The sequence below is a fragment of the Homo sapiens genome, chromosome 12 (genome assembly GCF_000001405.40).
Source record: "Homo sapiens chromosome 12, GRCh38.p14 Primary Assembly".
In the NCBI taxonomy this organism is placed as follows: Eukaryota; Metazoa; Chordata; class Mammalia; order Primates; family Hominidae; genus Homo; species Homo sapiens.
In genome coordinates, this window is record NC_000012.12 from 125,508,760 (window position 1) to 125,527,489 (window position 18,730).

General features: G+C 46.5%; 1 protein-coding gene across 10 annotated transcripts in view, besides 1 other annotated feature; it reads left to right on the forward strand.

Annotated features, from left to right (window-relative positions):
* The window catches only part of TMEM132B (transmembrane protein 132B), a 475,992-nt gene that overhangs the window by 322,374 nt on the left and 134,888 nt on the right, over positions 1-18,730 (forward strand). For all 10 annotated transcript variants that reach the window (NM_001366854.1, XM_047428245.1, XM_047428243.1 and 7 more), the window contains one exon: positions 10,680-10,866. In NM_001366854.1, coding sequence (NP_001353783.1) covers positions 10,680-10,866 — 187 coding nt within the window. The remainder of the gene's footprint in view (positions 1-10,679; positions 10,867-18,730) is intronic.
* Positions 9,404-9,698: a silencer, noted in NCBI's record as "tiled region #9406; HepG2 Repressive non-DNase unmatched - State 22:ReprW, and K562 Repressive non-DNase unmatched - State 24:Quies". NCBI's record gives its function as "represses a minimal TATA promoter and a strong SV40 promoter by Sharpr-MPRA in HepG2 and K562 cells {active_cell/tissue: HepG2 | K562}" and the evidence as "EXISTENCE:reporter gene assay evidence [ECO:0000049][PMID:27701403]".

The following is an 18,730-nucleotide window of genomic DNA, read 5'->3' on the forward strand; positions in this document are numbered from 1 at the left end:
TTTTTTTTCTTTCTTTCTTTCTTTTTTTTTTTTTTTAGAGACAGAGTCTCACTCTGTCGCCCAGCCTGGAGTGCAGTGGTATGATCTTGGCTCACTGCAACCTCTACCTCCCAGGTTCAGTTCAAGTGATTCTCCTGCCTCAGTCTCCGGAGTAGCTGGGATTACAGGTGTGCACCACCACGCCTGGCTAATTTTTGTAGTTTTGGTAGAGACGGGGTTTCACCATGTTGCCCAGGCTGGTCTGGAACTCCTGGCCTTAAGTGACCCTCCCGCCTCGGCCTCTCAACATGCTGGGATTACAGGTGTGAGCCATCACACCCAGCCAGTAATTAGAGTTTTCTGTGTGTGACTCTGCTCTTCACTTTCCCCCTGTGGATATATAACAGGCACAGGGCTGGGGACCTAGTGGTCACTCAGTAAATGTGCATGTATGAATGCACAAGTGTTACATTCAGTCTTTCTCCAGCATGAACTGTGGTATCAGAGGTGTGGTGGGTCCTGGACGCTCCACTTCATAGCTGTGTAACCTGCCTGGGCCGGGGCTTCCTGGCGCTCTAGTTATGGGTACCGTTCACCACTTCTCTGCGCATGCAGGAGGATTATCCTTGCTGGTCCTGTGGTCAGATGGGGCCATGTGACTGGTGATTGCTTCCAGGCCAGGGCATTCCATAGTTAATGAGGAGAACAACTAGGCCTCTCTTTTCCCTTTGGACTGGAGATCAAATGTTCTAGATGCAGAATGGAGTGTATAATGTGCACATTTGTGTAAAAGTGGGGCAGAGCATCACACTTTTTCATGCCTGTAGGTGCATCGAATATCTCTGCAGGGCTAATAAGGAAAAGAATAACTTGGGTTGGCTGCGGGGAGTGGATTTGGGAGTCTCGGGAGGTAGCAGTAGAAGGAAGACTATTCTTTTATACTTTTTGAATTTTACATCTTAGGAATGGATTATCTATTCAAAAGTTAACATTATGTTATGAATCAAAATCAGACCCCCAGTTCCAATCTGAGGTGAAGCTGCGAATGTTTGCCTCGGGAATCAGAGGACAGTAACAAGGTTCAGTCCTGCATCCTCCGTGTCTGGAGTCTGGAGTCTGGAGTCTGTCATTCGATTTCTCATGTCTGTCAGCATGGGTTTGCCTCTTCTCTTTAAGGAGACCTGAATAGAAATGGTTTTCACTGAGAAATCCATTGTCCATTTTTTATGTAACAAGCGTTTTCCTCCAGGTTGGTAATAGAAAGAAACAGAGACGATTCTGAAAAGTTGTATTTAAGAACGTGGTGTAAGATGATTTCTGAGTCATCATTTGCTAGAAGGGTTTTGGATGTTGTCAGAAAGATAGAGGCAGTGGGGAAAAAATTGTGGCAATTGTCTTAGCTGTCTCTGGGCTTGTCACGGTGATGCTGATAAAATCAGATAAGCTGGAAGTAAGGGTGAGCTGTAGTGTGAGAAATTGTCATGGGTTTGGCAGCCGAGAAAGTGGAGGTGCCTCAAGTGTTTGCTCATTATCAAGATTTATTGTTTTCAGCTCTGAGAAAATGTTGGTAAGCAAAAATAGGACCACTCATGCCAGTCTGCAAAGTACTTTACACATTTTAAAAACAGAAAAATAAGAAGACTCTAACATCCTTTTCCTGTGTTTGGGAAGTGGGGCAATGGGTTGGCCGACTGATTATGTGCTGACTTAGGAGTCAGATGGAGAGGTTTTGGAGTATTTACAAGGGAAAAATATATTTGAGATTTAAACAAAAGCAGAAGAAACCAAACAAGAGAGAGTTGAAGATGGTGATCTTCTATGTTTACGTAAAATATTTCTTGATTAGAGAAATGTATAGAAAATAATATAACAAATACTCATTCACCTACCCCCAGCTTTATTAACTCTTGCTATTTGGCTTTATTTTCTTCAAATTTTAAAAGAAATATATTTTACAGATATAATTGGAGCCCTCAGTACCTCATTATTTCTCTCCCTTCTCTGAGGTAGGCATTATCATTACCATGCATGTTTTTTTGCAGTTTTTAATATAAACTATAGAAATAATTATTGCATATGTTTCTAATTTTTATAAAAAGTATTATACCATTCATATACATGTGCAACTTGATTTTTACTCTCATTTCCTTCTATTTAAAAACAATTGAGTTATAATGAGCATGCCATGTAATTCATCTTTTTAAAGTGAACAATTCAGTCGTTTTTAGTATATTCAGAAAGTCATGGAATCATTGCATTATGTAATTTCAGAATATTTTTGTCACACTCAAAGAAACTGCATCCAGTAGCAGTCACTTCCCATTCCCCCACTTACCCCAGTCCTTGGCAACCACGATTCTACTTTTTGTCTTTATGGATTGACCTACTTTGGACATTTCCTGTCAATGGAGTCATATATCCTCTCTTGTGACTGGCTTCTTTCACTTAGCATTATGCTTTTAAGGTTCATTTGTATTGCAGCATTTCTCAGTAATTCTTTTTATGGCAAAATAATATTCTATTGTATAGAAATACCACATTTTGTTGATCCATTCATTGCTTGATAGAAAATTGGGTTGCTTTCACCTTTTGGGGGGGATGAACCATAAGGATACGAAGGTGTTTCATGGAACCCAAGGAAAGCATTGTAGTCGGTTCCAGGAACTGCAACCAGGAAGTAGAAATTTACCAGAAACTCTGGAAATATTTATTCTAACTTCTACCCTGTCCTTTTCACTCTCATCTCTTTTTTCAGTTCTTAGTCTGCTTGGTAGAAGAGATAACTGCACAGCTGGTTAGAGTTCACATCTCTGCTTGAAAAAGCATCCCAGGCCGGGCACGGTGGCTCACGCCTGTAATCCCAGCGCTTTTTGGGAGGCCGAGGTGGGCGGATCACGAGGTTAGGAGATCGAGAGCATCCTGGCTAACATGGTGAAACCCCGTCTCTACTAAAAATACAAAAAATTAGCCGGGTGTGGTGGCGGGCGCCTGTAGTCCCAGCTACTTGGGAGGCTGAGGCAGGAGAATGGCGTGAACCCGGGAGGCGGAGCTTGCAGTGAGCCGAGATCGCACCATTGCACTCCAGCCTGGGCGACAGAGCAAGACTCTATCTCAAAAAAAAAAAAAAAAAGAAAAGAAAAAGCATCCCAAATTCCAAATTTCCTAGCTGGAAATCACATTCCTAGGAAGTGTCCCTCATCCAGTTGAGGTGAGGGTTCACCACCAAGTCCAGCCCATGGCTAGAGATTGGGTCTCATAAGGTCATGCCATGTCCCGCCCTATGGACAAGGGTAAGAGTGGAAATAGGTACGTGAATTCTCAGCAGAATGAGGAATCACTGGTGAGCTGGAAACACAGTGCAAAAGGTGCCTACTAGGGAGCTCAAAACCAAGTGTGTTTTCTCAGAAATCACAAATGTCCGCAGGGACTTGGGGGACATGATAAGTGAGTAAAGTGGCTCAGGCCTATTGGAAAGTTTCAACCCTAATAAAGGGGACAGTGTTCTGCCCCAGCTGGTTATTACCACATGGGAATGTGGAATAGTGTTGCCTAACCTTCTCCAGAGAAGGCAGAATTACTATTTTGGGGGGTATAGATTCTCCATATTTAAAAATATCGCCAGCTGATTCGAATTTTGTAAAACATGATAGTGGGAATGATTAAGCAAAGTATGGCTCTGGCTGTGAGCAGCTCAGTTATATGAAGCTGCAACCTCTGGGATTTCGATTTAATTTTCCCCATCAGCCAGAAATGCTGTAAAGGAACCCAATTTCTTAGAGTATGCCCAGTTGGCACAGTCCTAGATTTTTTTTAAAGTTCTGTGTAGCAATTTGATGATGGGAAGTCAGAAAATCTAACGAGTAATGAGAGAATGTTTTGAGTCCTAAAAGATAAGTCCCTGATTTAGACTAGTGGACCTTAAGTATTTGTAGCCTGTAGACCTTTGACTGCCAACCGCTGCCTGCCTGGTCTTTTCAGAGCATACTCAGAGAAAGCAGAACTGCCCTTGACAAAACGGAAATGAGGAGGTGGTGCCTGGATCCTATGAAACTGCAGAAGTAGATGGTTTGTTTATGCTCCATTCTGAGAGCCAGCCATTAGATCCTGATGAAAAAAAAGGTTGTATGAGAGGCAGAGAGACGAACTAAAGACCTCTAGTCTGTTGAAGGGATCCGTGAGCAGGAATGTGCCCTCTCCTCTCCAGGACATCAGTGTTGGTGGGGACTCAGGGAGTGGGAAGGATGTCAGGAGGGGAAACGGGGGTGATGAGGGGACCCCACGCAGTGGGGCTGTGGCAGCTGCCTGTCATCTAGCCCAGTCCTCAAAGCTCAGCCACAGCCCAGCCTCCCCGGGAGCCTTCCCTGGCCTGCCTGCCTACGCAGGTCTGTCTCCTTCACTCACCTGCAGCTCAGGGGCTCTGCTGCACTCGGCACATGCTCCTCTGAGACCCGCTCAAACTGTGTTTAACACTCTTCATTCATTCATTCATTCAACAGATGTCTAATGAGCATCTCCTATGTCCCAGACAGCCTTCTAAGTGTGGGGGATACATTCGTGAGCAAAACAGGCACTTACATACTTGTATGTGCGTGTGCGTGTGCCTGTGTGCGTGTGTGCGTGTGAGAGACAGCGAGAGCGTGCGTGTGCGAGAGAGTATCAACATTATCAATAAATAACAGTATGTTAGAAGATAAAAGCCATGGAAAAGCTAGAGCCGGATAAGGGGGTTGGAATTGTGGAGATGAGAACAGAATTTTAACTGGGGTGGTCAGAGGAGGCTTTACTGAGCTGGCAGCCTTCAAACAAAGACTTGAAGGATGCTCTTTTTTGTTTAGCACCTTGTGTTCATGCTGATGGTTTGGGATACAGTTTTCCTATGAATTTTTTAGCTTAAAATAGACTTATTCATTCAGCAAACACTTGTTGAGGATCTGCTTGGTTTCTACTCGCCCTTCAGGTCTCAGCTCAGATGCCAGCTTCTTACTCCAGAACGCCCTTCCACTGTCTTCTGTTGTAATTTATATTCTATTTTGAAATTTAAGGTGACCATTTTTAAATTGTATTTTTTTAATTTTTAAAAATTGAAGAATTTTGTTTAATTCTTAAAACAACTTTCATTCTTCCACTTCGTGTTCATGATAGCATTTGTCATTATGTGGTCTTTTATTTTCCTGACTAGTAAGACAGGAGTCTCATCTGTTTTGTCTACTAATGAATCTCAGTGCCCAGCACACCACAGGGGGTGCCAAATAAATATTAGTGAATAATGTGCCAGGAACTGCAGTGACTATGGTGTTATAATAGGTTTTGGCTTTTGAGGAACTTACTGTGGTCCAGTAGTGAAGACAGACGTGTCTTCTCTAAGCAGAGTATATAAACAGACTTACGGCCTGGAAGGAGAATACGGCTCAAGGCTCTGCTGGCTGGTCGCTTCTTGTCTCCCAGAATGCAAACGCCACACGCCCCCCACCCCCAACGAGTTTTACAGGGTATCCTATTGGGTCTTTTAAGTATGTTCAAAGAATTAAACAAATACTCATTGAACTCCTACAGTTTTTCAGGCACTGTGTCAGCACTACAGTCAGGGCAGCAGTAGTACAGGCACGTCTGTGTCCTCATGGAGGTCATGGTCGAGAGGAGGAGTCAGAGGTCCCCGTCTCCCATTGTATCTCCTGAGAGGCACCAGCAAATCCTATCTTGGGACATTTGTTCAGTGTAATCATCACTCAGTAGTTTACCTTGCTTTTTGGTCATCTTAAAAATTAATGCCTAGAAAAAGTCTCATAAGAAAAAACAGATACCTGAGACCAGAGACAGCTTCTCTTGTCCCATTTTTAGAATTCCCATGTGGGGAAAGTGTTACCATCTCTGCCTGGTAGCTCAGAACCATCCAGACGTTTGCAAAAAATAATCTATGTAAATGACACAACTTGCTGGAGAACAGTTCAAGCTTTCGAACTTGCCCACTCTTCTTCATTTCTTCCTCCCTCCCACCTTTCTGATCCCTCCCTCCCTTCCCTGGTCCTGTGAAGCAGTCACTCTTGTGATCATGAGCGATGCACTGAGGAACAGCCGCATGTGGTCCTGGGGACACACTGCTGGGTTAGGTGCCCTGTCCCTCTCTGCTGCCCTGTGTCTTCTCCTCCTCCTCCTCCTCCTGGCTGGCACGACTGAGCTGCAGCCACACTGTGCACTAAAAGGTGCCTCAGCCCCTCCTCAGGGGTCCCAGGGCTCCAGAGAGGAGGCTTAGCTTTTACGGAAGGGGAGGTTTCCATGACAAACAGGGCTTCTGGGAGGCAAGTCCTTTTGGAAGGAAGGTGTGTGCTCTAGCTTGAGGGAGAAACAGCCAAGCAGTGTCGCCACTCCATGGCGGATTCCTCCTAACACACGCAGACACACTCACACAAACACATATGTTCGCACATTCTCTCCCACACTCACACACGCATTCTCTCTCATGCACACTCAAACACACACGTTCACACATTCTCTCACACACATGCATTCTCACACACACACATTCATACATTCACTCACACACAAATTCTCTCACACACTCATACACACTATTCACATGTTCTCTTACAGAAACAACACATTCTGTCACACTCACACACACATTGACACATTCACTCACACCTCTTTCACACATTCTCTCACAAATACATTCAAACATTTGCTCACACACTCTCACACATACACACATTCACACATTCCCTCACAGAAACACATTCACACATTGTCACACTCACACACATACATTGACACATTCGCTCACACCCCTTCACACATTCTCACGCTCACACACATTCATTCAGTCTGTCTCCCACACTCACACACACACATTCCCTCTCACACACACTCATACAACACATATTCACACATTTAGTCACACACATTGACACATTCACACCCCCTTCACACATTCTTTCTCACACTCACACACATTCCCTCCCACACTCACACAACACATTCACACGTTCTCACACACATTCACACACATTCTCACACATATTCACACATTCTCACACACATTTGCACATCTCTTTCACATTCACACAAATACACATTCTATCAACACATTCACACATTCTGTCACACACACACCTCCACACATTCTCCCTGTCACACACACTCATAGACATTCTCACGCACACATTTACACACACAAACACATGTACATATCCTATTTCTCTGTCACACACAGAGCTGCACATTCTCTCTTGTGCCGACACACACACATGCACACATTCTCCTTTCTCCCAGACTCCTATGCACTCCCACACACTCTCACACCCCCACATTCACGCATTCTCTCACATATACTCACACACACTCTCACGCTATCTCACACACACTAACACACACTATCACACACACACTATCGCAATCTCACACACACACTCACACACTATCACATTCTCACACACACACTCACATACACTATCGCACTCTCACATGCCTCCTTCCCCACTGCAGGAAAAATTGCCTAATGAATGTCTCATGGCTGAAACACCGATCCTGATTCCTGAAAGGCGGTTGTAATTATTAAACTGAGAGAATCATGAAACACTTCTTGATATTTGAAAGGCTTATCAAGACTAGATCAGGAGCAGGTCAAATTACCAGTTATGAACTCATTTTTGTAGAAATGGACTCATTAGCAAGCATGCCCATTGCCTAAAAGTATAAGACCTCTTTCCTCTGGATTGAGAGAAATGACTTTAAAAAAAACCTGTACATAAAAGAAGCTCTGCCTTAATTGTTATTCCATTCATTGCTGGACTTGGGCAGGTTCCTGCAGCTGGTCCAGCTCACAAGCTGGGAAATTGGAGAGGAGCAGGACGTGCCCACAGTCAGAAGGGCTGATCATCTTATGCAGACCTACCCTCTTTGCCTAAAGACTGGCCACTTCTCTTTCTTTACCCCAGGACCAGAGTATGAATCTAGCAGGATGAAATGGCTGGTGGAAGAGCTCATTTCTCCTCTCACTGGATCTTCGCTTCCCTGGCATTAGCTTCTCTGAGGTCTACGGAATGCTGAGAACCCGGGAGGTTTTGGAAGCAGCTTCCTAGTTCTGGTTACAAAGCACAGTGCGGCCCAAAGAGAAATTGAAAATTTGGTCTGACAGGACCAAGCATCTCTCGTAGGAGGTGACTTAACAGATGGATTCGTGGAGAATTTCTGTGACTAGTGAAGAGAAATTAGGCTGGAATATGGTTGATGGGAAATGGCAGGGGTGCAGGTGGGGTGACTCTAGCTGAAAACTGAGCTGAAAGCTCAGCCCTTCATCTATTTCTTTGCCTTTCACTAAAGATACCCAGGTAAATAGGGGTCCCCTGATGGGAAGGGGGGTCCCATGTGTGCACACTTTCAGTCCTCTCATGAGTTCAGAAACTGCTATTCAACACACATTTTCTCTCTCTCTCTTTTTTTTTTTTTGAGACAGTTTCGCACTTTCACCCAGGCTGGAGTGCAGCGGTGTGATCTCAGCTCACTGCAAGCTCCACCTCCTGGGTTCACCCCATTCTCCTGCCTCAGCCTCCTGAGTAGCTGGGACTACAGGCGCCCGCCACCATGCCCTGCTGATTTTTTTTTTTTTTTTTTTTTTTTTTTTTTTTTTTTTTGCATTTTTAGTAGAGACGGGGTTTCACTATGTTAGCCAGGATGGTCTTGATCTCCTGACCTCGTGATCCACCCGCCTCGGCCTCCCAAAGTGCTGGGATTACAGGCGTGAGCCACCACGCCCGGCCCAACACATATTTTCTTGCAAAACAACTTGTACCAATGGATATTTGAAGATTTATAGATCCCAAGTACCTATGTGCAGCTTAGGGTCAGCTGGGACCACCTGGCTATGTTTGCCCACGGGAGCCCCTAAACTTTTCCACAGCTGTGTGTCTCCTATGATTTTGAGATCATCACAGTATGAATTCATATTACTGGATGGTACATGAAGTGAGTACACACCCATTCCCTCATTCCATCCCCATAATTCTACTGAAAGTAGAAAGACCAATATTATTGTTATTCACTCATTTTTCAGACAAGGAAGCTGATGGCGGAATGGGCATGAATGTCTTTCCCAGGGTACAAAGCAGGTCAGCAGTTGTCTACCTGCCCTGTGCAACATGTCACCAAGGGCCACATGTGGCTGGTGAGCATTTGAAATTAGGATAGTGTGACTGAAGAACTGAATTTAAATTTGATTTATTTTTAAATTATTTTAATTTGCACGTAAATGGCCATTTGTGGCTGGTGGCCACAATATTGGGCACTGTGGTATCAGAGAGTTCCTTAAAATCTTGGCTAAATAGGAAAAAGGTTGCCCATGACCTATTCTATGTGGAGTACAATGTGGTTTCCCTTTGGGTAGAATTTCTTACCAATCAGGTCAGTGTGATTTCGTGTTGTCAGTGCTGTGGCTGTATTCCAGTGTTCCTCTGATACCTCTTGGCATATACAAGGAAGCAGATGTGGTTTCCCCACCACTGTTCTTGTAGGAGCTCCAGTGCAGGGGAGCTGTCCGTGGTAGGAGAGTCCATTACACAAGCAGCAGGCAGCAGTTTCTTTTTCAAAACTCCACACAGGTTGTGAGTTTGGGAGCCCAGACTGCAGACCTTGCCTAGGCCCCCAGAGGCAGGAAGGAGACTTCTCAGCCTACATTGGTCCTAGGAGGCTCATTGGCAGAGAAGGAGCTGCTGGTGTGTGTGGCTCAGGCCTTGGGGGAGCTTGCGGATCAGCTGCTCTGCTGTTGCCTTCCTTGTATCTGGGTGGAGCTGGATTCACTGGGATGGAAACAGGCTGATGGATCAGGGTCATTCACAATCCTGTGCTGCATGGCTTTCTGTTTTAACTCTGTTCAGTGACTTCCCTGTCAATGCGATAGCCTGCAATTTACAAGTCCATGTCAATGACAAGGGGCTCCCTGCACATACAAATACCATAATCACACTAGTCTTTTTCAGTTATGAAGAATTCACCAACTTCATAGCCCCCCCACCTGCAAACACACATATGATCTTGTCATTCCATGAATTAAGGCAGGTGGGATTTTTTTACATTACTTCTAATCCCATTTGGTGAAATGAGAAGTCCAGTGTAGTATCTTCTTATGTTGCTCGTAGTTTATGTAGTAAACCACGTAGTGTGTGAAGTTCTTTCTCACTCTCAGTCTCCTGATGCTTCCACACACCCATGAGGTCCCCACTATTCTCTGCAAATTCTAAAGCTTGGAGAGTTTTAACAACTGGTCTACAGACCTCAGCTAAGTAGAAGCAGGAATGGCCAAGGTCCAGGGTGTGCTTTGTGATTGGAAGAGCAGTGAAGCTACATGAAATGGCTTGGGGGCCTTTCCTGAGTGTGGAACTTGGACTGTGGCATGCCCGTGCCTGGGCTGGGGAGGGGAGAGCTGTGCGTGGCATGCGAAGAGGTGAAATGCTGACCGAGTTACTCATCCAGTGAAAGACAGCCTGCTTTCTGCAACACGGAGCCCTAGAGACGGATCGTCAGCCTATTCTGAGGTGTGGGCTGCTGATGGGCAGCTGTGAATTAGGCTCCGACAACACTGCCGTGTGAGTTGTTGAACTTGGCAGTCATTCTTTTGGTTGACAAATAAGAATGTGGCAATTTATTACATTCTTGACATTTTGCTGAGTCTGAGGTTTTAAATGGAACCTTAATATGTGTTTGTTTTCCAGGGTAAATGGATCCTTCTATGAGATCTTGCAAGTGGACTTTGGAATTGATAATAGCAGTGACCTGGCTGGGGCCCAGCAGATTACCTGGCAGGTGGAGTACCCGATTGAGGACTCCATGAGTGAGCTGGTCGTCTCCGAGATCTTCGTCAGCCAGACAACCTTCGTGGGCATCGTCCCTCTTGCCATGGTGAGGAATCTGGGGGTTTCAGAGGAAGTGTCACAAAGAAGTTTTCTTTAAACATGATGCACTGTATAATCTGTTATTTTCCACATACCTGATACACTGTTTAAACAAGGAAAATATACTTAAATTGCATTTGATCTACCTGCTTTTCATAATGGCTCCTTGGGAACTATTTAAGGTCTACCATGTAAATCCCTTTTCATTTGTGGATATTGCGGAACTGTTTCCTGGGGAGCCCTTATTCTTTATTTTCTCAATCTGCGTGCATATCAGGACTGAGTGCTGCGCTGAGTGAAAACAGTTTTGTTGAAATGCATCAGGGTTACACGTTGGGAACAGTGGCTCTATATGCCAAGTAACTGACCCCTTGTCAATTGGCTTTGCCCTTAAGTCTCCCAGGTAACTTATGGATTGGAAAACTCTAAAATGCAGATGGACTGAAAGAGCCTTGCTGGGAACTGACCACTTTAAGCTGGGTAGAGCCCCAGAGTCCACAAAACTGTCTGTGTTTCTGCTTCACTGGCCTGGAGGTGATTGGATTTCTTCTCCTGGGCTTGGTTGAAGTTACGTTCATAGTCAAGCTCAGGGGCTACATCTGAGATCAGGGTCATGGGTGAGATTCCAGAGCCTAAATTCCAGAGATTCCACGGAGACAGTAAGTCCATGGGTACTACCTGCTTAATACCCTTTTCCACACTGGAAATGTTCAACCATTTTCTGCACTGCCTTGACTTTCCTGTCTGGTACCAAAGTGTGGGATCCATGTCCAGATACTCTAGAAAAATCTGTGGGTGCTTTTGATCATTCATCATGCAAGTTAAACAACAAAGTTGAGACTCCTTTGAACCCTATATCTTAGAATTAATTCTGCCATCCCCGAATCTCGAGTGTCTCAAGTGCGTTGAATGTGTCTCTCTGCTGGAACACACTTTCCCTACATCTCCCACGTCTGGGTCCTTTTCCCCACCTCAACTGTTAGGGAGTCACCTTCTCTGACCTTGTTGGCTAAAATTGGCCCTCCCTCCCCTGCCAGCTCATCACCCTCTACCTGTCATCATCCTGTTTTATCTTCTTCCTAGACATTATCACTGGTTGATATTTAGGGTTCATTTTCTGTCTTCCTCCCCAGAAGGTGGGATTCATGACAGTAGGGTTATCCTGGTCAGTTGTGTCCACATCTTTCACCCCTGCACCTAGCACAATGGCTGGCACAGTTAATGTTTGTTGAATGAATGAATGGATCTGTGCTTTAGTCCAAGCTTCCAGGGTCATTTAGTTTTTGAAGATTAGACTGACGGAGATCATTCCTATCATCATTGACCCACATTGTGGTTTGAAGGCAGCCAATCTAGACGGGGAAGTACCTGTTAGGGAACAGAGATGGATGGGTGTGGGTTTTAAGGTGGAATGAAACTGCATCCCTTGTGCCTGGGAACCCATCTATAAATTCTCCAGCTCAGCTAGGTCAGGCTGAGGTTGGGAAATCTCTACTCAATGTCCTTACCACTTTGCTCTATGCTTTATCTGTAGCACTGCATTCACTGTGGGTTTGGAAGCTACCACTGCTGCCACCTCCTCTACTTCCACCTTCTCCTTCCTCCTTCTCTTCCTCTTCCTTCACTTCCCCTCCTTCTCTTTCTCATTCTCCTTCTCCTTCTTTCTCCTTCTCCTTCTTCTCCTCCTTCCTCTTCCCCTTCCCCTTCTCCTTTTCCTTATTCCAAAGCAAGTCATGGAAAGATCAGTGGCAATTAATGCTGGACTGCCCCTGCATGAAGTAAGGGCACTAGGGTACATAGCTACATAATGTACAAAAAATGGGCTCACTATTTTCAGAGTCTGATGTGAAGCAGAAATCCCTCTGTAGTTAGAACAGAGCAGCTTTAAATGCAAGGACTTAAGTACACAGGGAATGAAACAGATGAGAAGCAGATGTAGAACAGAAGAGAGCTGGGCACCCTAGTAAGAGTGGGAATCTGCTACTACCCCCAGGCCAGAGGGTGAGGGTGGAGGGGTTATTACCAGAGCCCAGGACCTGGGGGTCACTGCTGCAGCTAGAATCACATTTGAGCAGCCTGGTTAGGGCTGGAGTGTGGGAGAGATTCAACTGTTGCGAAGGATGCTACCTGAGGCAGGGCTGGGAGCGGGGTGAGGAATTACCTGGCTTCTGCCTCCCTCCTCCTGCCAGATCCTGCAAAGTCTTTCACTTAATCTCATTCTGCTGGCTGAGGCATAAGCTTAGGAAGCAGCATCTTCAGGGCTCAACACTGCTATGATCCAGAACTGATCAGAGGAGGGCCAGGAACTGGATTTGAGGGTGACGGGCTCCAGCCAGTGCCATTATCTTGCTTGTTTTATTGCATGATGTGACTCCTGTGAACCAAATCCAGCCTGTCCCTCAGAAGCTTGCATATTCAGAACGTGGCCATGCCAAGTCTCGTTCCTCTCAGGTCTCCTTTTGGCTCCCTCGGCCCAGAATGCTCCATTATGGCTGATTTCTTGTCACTTTTCATTTGAAGGTCAACTCGTGGAGAGGCTTCTCCTGGTTACTCTGGCTAAATTAGTCTCCCCCTTTCTATTTTCACTTATTTGTCCTTGTCTTGTGCAGATCCCATCACAGTCTGTGATCCATGCTTATTTATGAGTGTTTGTGTCCTGTCTGTCTCAGTCTAGGTCCAGCCATAAGAAAGAATGTGAACACGGAAAGTTTAAAATAGAGAATTGTTAACTATCACAGAGGACTGGGATAGTGAGGGATTGGTTAGTTAGAAGTGAAGAGAACTCTAAAGAGTATAGGAATGGCAGATACAGGGAGCAGCTGCTAGCCTGAGGGCTGAACTATAATGCTGAAAGAAGAGGTTTCCCTGCCTATCCCCCCAAAGCAACATTTCTTGAGAGGTTATGGTCACAGCTTACTGAATGGCAGACAAGTTGCTGATGCAGCACTCGAGTAGAGCTTGATGGGAATCTGTCCTCTGTAGTGCTAGGGACAGCTGTTCACAAGTGATGCACTTGCTACCAAACTACTGAAGGTGGACCTTGGGGAAAGCTGCCAGCTGTGAGGTGCTGCTGGCCACCATGAACTGTAGGAGTGGGACACCGAGGAAGCCACCAATGCTGGAGAAGGTCTGTGCATGGCAGGAGCTGCAGAGAGAGGGCCTCAGCATCAGAAAGTCAACCCTTTCCTCCCAAACTGTCTCTCCAGTATGTTCTACTGACAAAGCCTAATATCGTGCCCATTGGAAAAGCAAAAATATTAAAATAGGGCTCAGATCTATTTTCACAGAGCAGGTAATGAGGGGTGAACTTGGAGCTGAGAGGCCATGAATCGATAACAAGCATACTGCAGGTCTTCCACACTGGATTTCAAGCTCCCTGATGAGAGGAGCCATGCTTGTTTTGCTTGCTGGATGTTTTTTCAGCATGGTGCCGAATATATAGTATTTGCTCAGCAAATGAACAAATGGTTATGCCTACCATCAGAGCCTGAGTCCATTGGCTAGAGAGCTCTTGCTTGCCATATTATTAATTTTCCTGTGCTGCGCTAACAAATTACCATAAACTCAATGACTTTAAAAACCTACAGATTTATTCTCTTAGAGTTCTGGAGGTCAGAAGTCTTAAGTAGGTTCCCTGGGCTAAAGCAAAGTTGTCAGGAGGGCTGGTTCCTTCTGGAAGCTCTAGGGGAGAATTTATTCTGTACCGTTTCCAGCTTCTAGAGGCCATCAGCTTTCCTTGGCTCGTGGGTCCACGTGACTCTCATCTCTGCTTCCATCATTGTATCACCTTCTCTGAGTCTCCTGCTTTCTCTTCCCTTTTAAGGACCCTTGTGATGACATGGGGCCCACCGAGATAATTCAGGATAATCTCCCCATCTCAAGATCCCTAACTTCATCACACTTGCAGAGATTCCTTTGGCCATGCCAAGTAACATATTCACAGGTTCTGGGATTAGGACGTGGACATCTCTGGAGGGGGCTGTTATTTTCCTACCACACTTGCTTATGCAGGATTCCAGCTCTCTCTAGTTGGAGCTTCCTCAAACTGGGTGCTCAGGGCTCTCCATCTCTTCTCGCATGATCTGCTCTGTCATTGTGTTGTAGCCCCAGGCTGCTGCCTGCACCAGCTTACAGCTTAATGCCTCCCAGGCTGCTGCCTTGGGAGCTCTCTTGGCCTCCATGTCACTCTAGCACCTCTGACAGCTCCAAGATCCTAGGGATACTACTCTCTCCTCATCGGGGATGCACTTTCATTGTGCTTGGCTCTTCCAGAGGACCCCAGAGCAGAGCTTCCAGAGCACCAAGGAACATGAGTCTCTTAGTTTTCACAGGCATCCTCATCCCCAGGGGGGATGTGGACAGCCACAGGACAGGGGCTGGGTGGGCTCTGGTCACAATTTCACATCACTGTCCTCTAATCCTGGGACTGGGAGGAGGAGACCCGAAGTCAAAGCCCAGCTGGCCTCTCATTCTCCACGTAGCCTCAGGCTGGTCACCTAACCTCCCTTTGCTTTAGTAGCTCATGTGTGAGTTTACAAGCAAGAGTACCTCTTCTGTCTACTTCACAGTGGTGTCAGATGGATAAACTGAGCCATAAAAAATATGAACATGCTTAAACTATCAAAGCAAATATAAAAGTCATGTATGTAAAGGGAAAATGTCCCAGATAGGGCACTGGATCAGATTCAGCTGGCGTGTGGGATTAACAATCCTCTCTATCCAGCCAGTTTCGTTATCCTATTGATTTGCCTGGGAAAATTTCAATTATGATTACCTTCGAGGTAGGTGGCAGTGAGATATTTTGGTCAAGAGTGAGGGCTATTGGGTCAACCTGCCTAGTTTGAAATTTGAACTCCAGTTACTAGCTTCATGATATTGGGCAAGTCACTCAATCTTTCTGAAGCTCCAATTATTTATCTGTAAACTGTAAAAATCACATTCCCTGCCTGATAGTTTTGTGAGGATTAAATGATATACTAAGGTAAAGTGTTTGCCCATTGGCCTGGCATACTGCATGCACTCAATAATGTTGAGCTGTTATAATTTTCATCATTGTCATTGTGTTATCTAGCCATCTATAGGTGTAGTTGTCAAACTTTGGGAGAAGGTAAAACAGAAGTTCAACCTCAGGATGGATGATGGTAGGTTCTCCTCTTGGAGAAAAGGAGGAGGAAAGGAGGCTGATTTGCTGAGTCAGACACAGCCAAAGGGTTTAGGGTGGGCACAATATGGGTGAAGAGAGAGAGACAGAATCACAGAGGGTCTGGGAGCTCATGGAGAGCTCCTACTGTTTGAGAGGGTCAGGGAAGAAAGGGGAGGAAGGAATGTGCTATCTCATTCTTGAAGGTGAATGGACATTAGCCAAGTGGAAAGAAGGAAGGTGTTCTAGGCAGATGGAATGATGTGTGTAATGAGTAGGAGCAAGAGCATGGGCGCTTAGAGGGCTGCAGGTGGCTTGGTGGGGCTGGTGTTTGGGCTGAGGGGAGGTGATAAGGGGAACAGAGAAGGGGGCAGCAGAACACTCTAGTAGGCTTGCATACTAGGCTAGGATGTCTGATCTTTGTTCTGGAGTTACCCTTTATTCATTGGTTTGGATCATTTATTACGGATCACAAAGAATGTATGAATCCACAAGTATTCATTGCAGTTCTGTATGTTGTGGTTTGAATGTGTCCTCTCCAAAATTCACGAGGAAACTCAATCCCCCTTGTGGTGGTGTTACCAGGTGAGGCCTTTTGGAAAGTGATTAGCCATGAGGGCTCTGCCCTCACAAATGGATGGCTTCCTTATAAAAGGGTTGGAGGAAGCTGGCTTAGGCCCCTGTGCCTGTCCCTTCCGCCATGCGAGGACATGGTGTTTCGTCCTCCCTGGAAGACGCAGCAACAAGGCACCATCTTGGAAGCAAAGAGACCAGATCTTCAGCAGACACTGACCTTGCTAGGGTCTCTGTCTTGGCCTTCCAGCATCCAGAACTGTGAGGAAGTAAATTTCTGTTCTTTATAAATGACCCAATCTCAGGTATTTTGTTGTAGCTGGACAGAAGAAGAAGGACCTGTGGTATACTCTGCAGGTGGGGTGGTGGCCAGTGGTGTTCTCTTAGCCAACGGCCACTCCTGCCTCCTGCTTCCTTCCCAGCTTTCTTGCTAAAAGGGCCTCGGTTATGATCTTTGCCCACTGAGTGGCCACATCCTTTGGTCCACTGGGTAAGGTTGGACCCCTCCACAGTCCCAGGGTGGCATCTGGATTGGCCTAAACCATCACGATTTGTTCATCCCCTTCCCTTGTGATTATTGCACCCTGGGGGAAGTTGCCTAGTTGGGTGAGGGGTCTGGAGAAATAATAACTTGTCGTTAAAAAGGATTGAAGCACAGGGCTATTCCTGCTTTCTGTCCCTGAGCGTGACTGTGTAAGGAGTGGGAGGTGTCACTGTGAGAGGAGCTGCACACACTCTGGGATGGCAGAGCAGAGACAGGGTGGGAGGCTGTGTCCTCGCCAGTGTCACAGGCTGCCCAGCTACCCCGTTACCAGCCTCCCTCCTCTGGGCCTCCTGCCTTGTGACACAGTAAAACTGCCCACTGTAAATCCCCTCTGGCTAGCTCTTAGCTGCAGCTTGGAGGGTTTCAACTGAAGGCTCTTCTTAGCCTCCCATCACCTTCCTAGGCCTGCTGGGCTCCTCGCACAGGGGTTGTCACTATCAGGAAGGAAGGGGCAGGGATGCCATCCACTGTGCCATCCCTCATTTCTCCCTGGAGAGGAGACTTATTCCTACAGGCCCCAGTTGGCCGTGGCACCTTCCTTCCCATTGGTTAAAACTGGGTGGCATACACAGATGCTGGGGGAATGAGGGTCTGGCCTTGTAATCTTACCTGTGACAGCCATGGACTGGGCAGTTGAAGCATCTGCACTCATGGAATTGCCCACGCAGTGCCCCTGGTGCCCTCTGAGAAGGTGCTGCTGTCCTGGGATTCAACCCCAGACTTATGATTTAGGACTTTGCTGCCACAGGTGTGTGATCCTGGATTGTGTTGGTTGCTGTTGACATTTTGGGTAGCAAGTCAGCCTCTACTTCATGAAGATAAACACACAGCTTTTGGGAGAATGCCTGATAGGAAGTGGGAGAGACCCAGTCATGGACACCAGGGTGGGGGCTGAGGTAGTAGCCAAGCAGGCAGGCTGGCAGAGGGAGGCGGCTGTGGGGAGGTGCTCACTCATTCATTCTTCCTTCCTTCCATTCATCCAGCCATCCACCCATCCAACCACCCATCTACCCTTCCATCTACCCATCCACCCTTCCATCCACCCATTTACCCTTCCATCCACCCATCCACCACCCTTCTATCCACCCATTTACCCTTCCAACCACCCATCCACCCTTCTATCCAATCATTTACCCTTCCATCCACCCATCCACCCTTCCATCCACCCATCCACCCTTCCATCCACCCATTTACCCTTCTATCCACCCATCCACCCATCCACCCTTCCATCCACCCATCCACACTTCCATCCACCCATTTACCCTTCTATCCACCCATCCACCCATCCACCCATCCACCCTTCCATCCATCCATCCACCCATCCACCCTTCCATCCATCCATCCACCCATCCACCCTTCCATCCACCCATCCACCCTTCCATCCACCCGTTTACCCTTCTATCCACCCATCCACCCTTCCATCCACCCTCCACTCTTCCATCCACCCATCCACCCATCCACCCTTCCATCCACCCATCCACCCTTCCATCCACCCTCCACTCTTCCATCCACCCATCCACCCATCCAGCCTTCCATCCACCCATTCACCCTTCCATCCACCTATTTACCCTTCCATCCACCCATCCACCCTTCCATCCACCCATCCACCCTTCC